The 2,793-nt window shown below is 37.9% G+C and overlaps 1 annotated feature.

The window, feature by feature from the left end:
• Window positions 325–594: an enhancer, noted in NCBI's record as "active region_7495". NCBI's record gives its function as "activates an Ori minimal core promoter by ATAC-STARR-seq in GM12878 lymphoblastoid cells {active_cell/tissue: GM12878}" and the evidence as "EXISTENCE:reporter gene assay evidence [ECO:0000049][PMID:35858748]".

Below are 2,793 nucleotides of genomic sequence, written 5' to 3'. Positions count from 1 at the left end.
AAAAAAAAAAAGGAGAGAGAGAGAAAATTCTGTGTTTCTAGCTTTTTTTTTTTTTTTTTTCCTTGAAGAAGCTCAGGAAACAGAAGCAGATGGAGGCTGGTGTTAGATCCAGCTCTAACCCCACTGCACTCATCATTCTGGATTGTATTTTTGTGCTGATCTGCCTTCGTATGAGACAGGGGGACAGGTGGGTCCAAATCTGGGTGGCAGACCCTCAATTGCTACTTCCTGATGAATATGTAAATGAGCCCTTGGGACGTGTTTTAGAACATAGAACACCATGGTCTTCAGATGCCTGGCTGAGCAGGGCCTGGTGACTGCTGAACCAGTGGTCAACTCCTCAAACCCTTAGGGACGTGGCGCTTCCTCAAGGGCAGGATGTGGGGTTGTTTTGCTTCTGTTTTAGGAGGTTATTCTTGTTTCCTTAAAGAGATAGTGAATTCTCTCATGTCAGAGACCGTGGCATGCGCCTCTTTCATGGGAGATGCAGAAAAGCTATGAAACAAGCTGTCTGAAGCAGAATTGAAAGGGGACAGGGAGAGATGGGCAGGCAGGAGGAATTTATTTTGTGCTGACTGTGCAAGGTGCAGAGCTAAGGCTTTCCATACACATTACATAAACTCACCCTCACCTGCCCCCACCCTAAAAGACTCTGAAGAAAGTATTATTATGCCCATTTAAAAAATATTAAAAAACCAAAAGCACAGAGAGACTGTCTCATCCTGGGGTTTGGTTATGATGTGGCAAAGCTTGGTTTGAACACTGGTGTGACTTCCCTAGTCTAGAGTTGTTCATGCTGAGATGGGACCAGTAAACACAGGGAAGCTGACATGTACCCTAGTATTTAGTAATAGATTCTAAATGAGTCTTCTCAGAGATGTACGTGTCACAAAAGATACATCACAGTTGTGGGAATTCCACAGTTTGGAAGAGGCAATAAATCCTTAAAGAATTTTTGTATCATTTTATGTTAATAGAAATTTTAAATATTTTAAATATATAACTTACTATATTCCAGGCAAAATGCTAAGTGCTTTGCGCATCTTACCTCATTTAATACACACACACACACACACACACACACGTGATCCAGTGAGGCAGGTGCAAATATCATCCCCATTTTGCAGATGGTGAAATTAAAGCTAAAAATACCACAGCCAAGAAAATCTTGAAAAAGAACAAAGTTGGAGGACACATGCTCCCTGATTTCAAAACTTATTACAGAGCTACACTAATCAAAACTGTGTGGCAGTGGCATAAAGAGAGACATATAGACAGATGGAATGAAATAGAGAGCCCAATAAACCATTTTTGGTTGATTTGTCATATATGGTTGAATGATTTCAACAAGGGTGTCAAGACCATTCAATGGGGAAAGGGCAGTCTTTTCAACAAACTGTGCTGGGGAAACTGGATATTCACATGCAAAAGAATAATGTTGCAGCCTTACTTAACATCATATACAAAAATTAACTCAAAATCAATCAAAGACCTAAACGTAAGAGCTATTACTATAAAACTCTTATAAGAAAACATAGGGAAAACTTCATGATATTGGATTTGCTAATGATTTCCTTTGTATAACACCAAAGGCACAGGTTAAAAAAATAAATAAACTGGACTTCATGACCATTAAATACTTTTGTGCATCAAAAGATACTATAAATACTGTAAAGTGACAACTTACAGAGTGGGAGAAAATATTTGCAAATTACATACCTGATAAGGGATTAATATCCAAAATATATAGAGAACTCCTAAAACTCAACAACAAAAAAGTCAACACTCAATGCAAAAACATCTAAAGGACTTGAATAGATATTTCACTAAAGAAGATATACAGATGGCCAATAAGCACATGAAAAGTGTTCAATACCTCTAATCATAAGAAGAATGCAAATAAAAATGATAATGAGATAAAACCACACACCTGTTGGGATGACTACTAACAAAACAAAACAAAACAACACAAAAAACAGAAAATAACAAGTGTTGGTGATCATTTGGAGAACTTGGAAACTTTGTACAGTGTTGGTGGGAATGGAAAATGGTGCAGCTGCTGTGGAAAACGGTATGGAGGTTTCTCAAACAATGAAAAATAGAACCACTATATGATTCAAAAATCCTACTTCTGGGTATATTCTCAAAGCAGGGTCTTAAAGAGATATTTGTACACCCATGTTCATAGTAGCATTATTCACAATACCTAAAACATGGAAGCAACCAATCCAAGTGCTCAACAATGAATGAATGGATAAAATTCATTCAAAATTCAAAATGTGGCATATGCACACAATGAAATATTACTCAGACTTAAAAAGGAAAGAAATTCTGGCATGGGTTACAACATCATGAACCCTGAGGACATTATGGTAAGTGAAATAAGCCAGTCAAGAAAGGACAAAGACTAAATTACTCCACTTGTATGAAGAACCTAGAGTAGTCAGATTCATAGAAGAGAGAATAGAATGGAGGCTGCCAGGAACTGGAGGGAGGAGAGGCTGAGGAGTGGTTTAATGGCTGTAGAGTTTTAGTTTTGCAAGGTGGAGAGAGTTCTGGAGATGGGTGGTAGTGATGGTTGCACAATAATGCGAATGTACTTAATGCCACAGAACTGTCCACTTAACAGTGGGTAAGATGGTAACTTTCATGTAATTTTTTTTTCAAAATAAGAAGTTGGGGTAAAATACGGATAGTACATGATTTGCTTTGTCATGGACTAGTTAACAATGGAGTTAGGATTTAAAGTCAGGTTTTTCCGATTCCAAAGCTATGCTGGACACACGGTGCATT

This window comes from Homo sapiens, chromosome 13 (assembly GCF_000001405.40).
Source record: "Homo sapiens chromosome 13, GRCh38.p14 Primary Assembly".
NCBI classification, from domain to species: domain Eukaryota; kingdom Metazoa; phylum Chordata; class Mammalia; order Primates; family Hominidae; genus Homo; species Homo sapiens.
The sequence above is the reverse complement of the archived record's forward strand: the minus strand, read 5'-3'. Positions and strand labels throughout refer to the sequence as shown.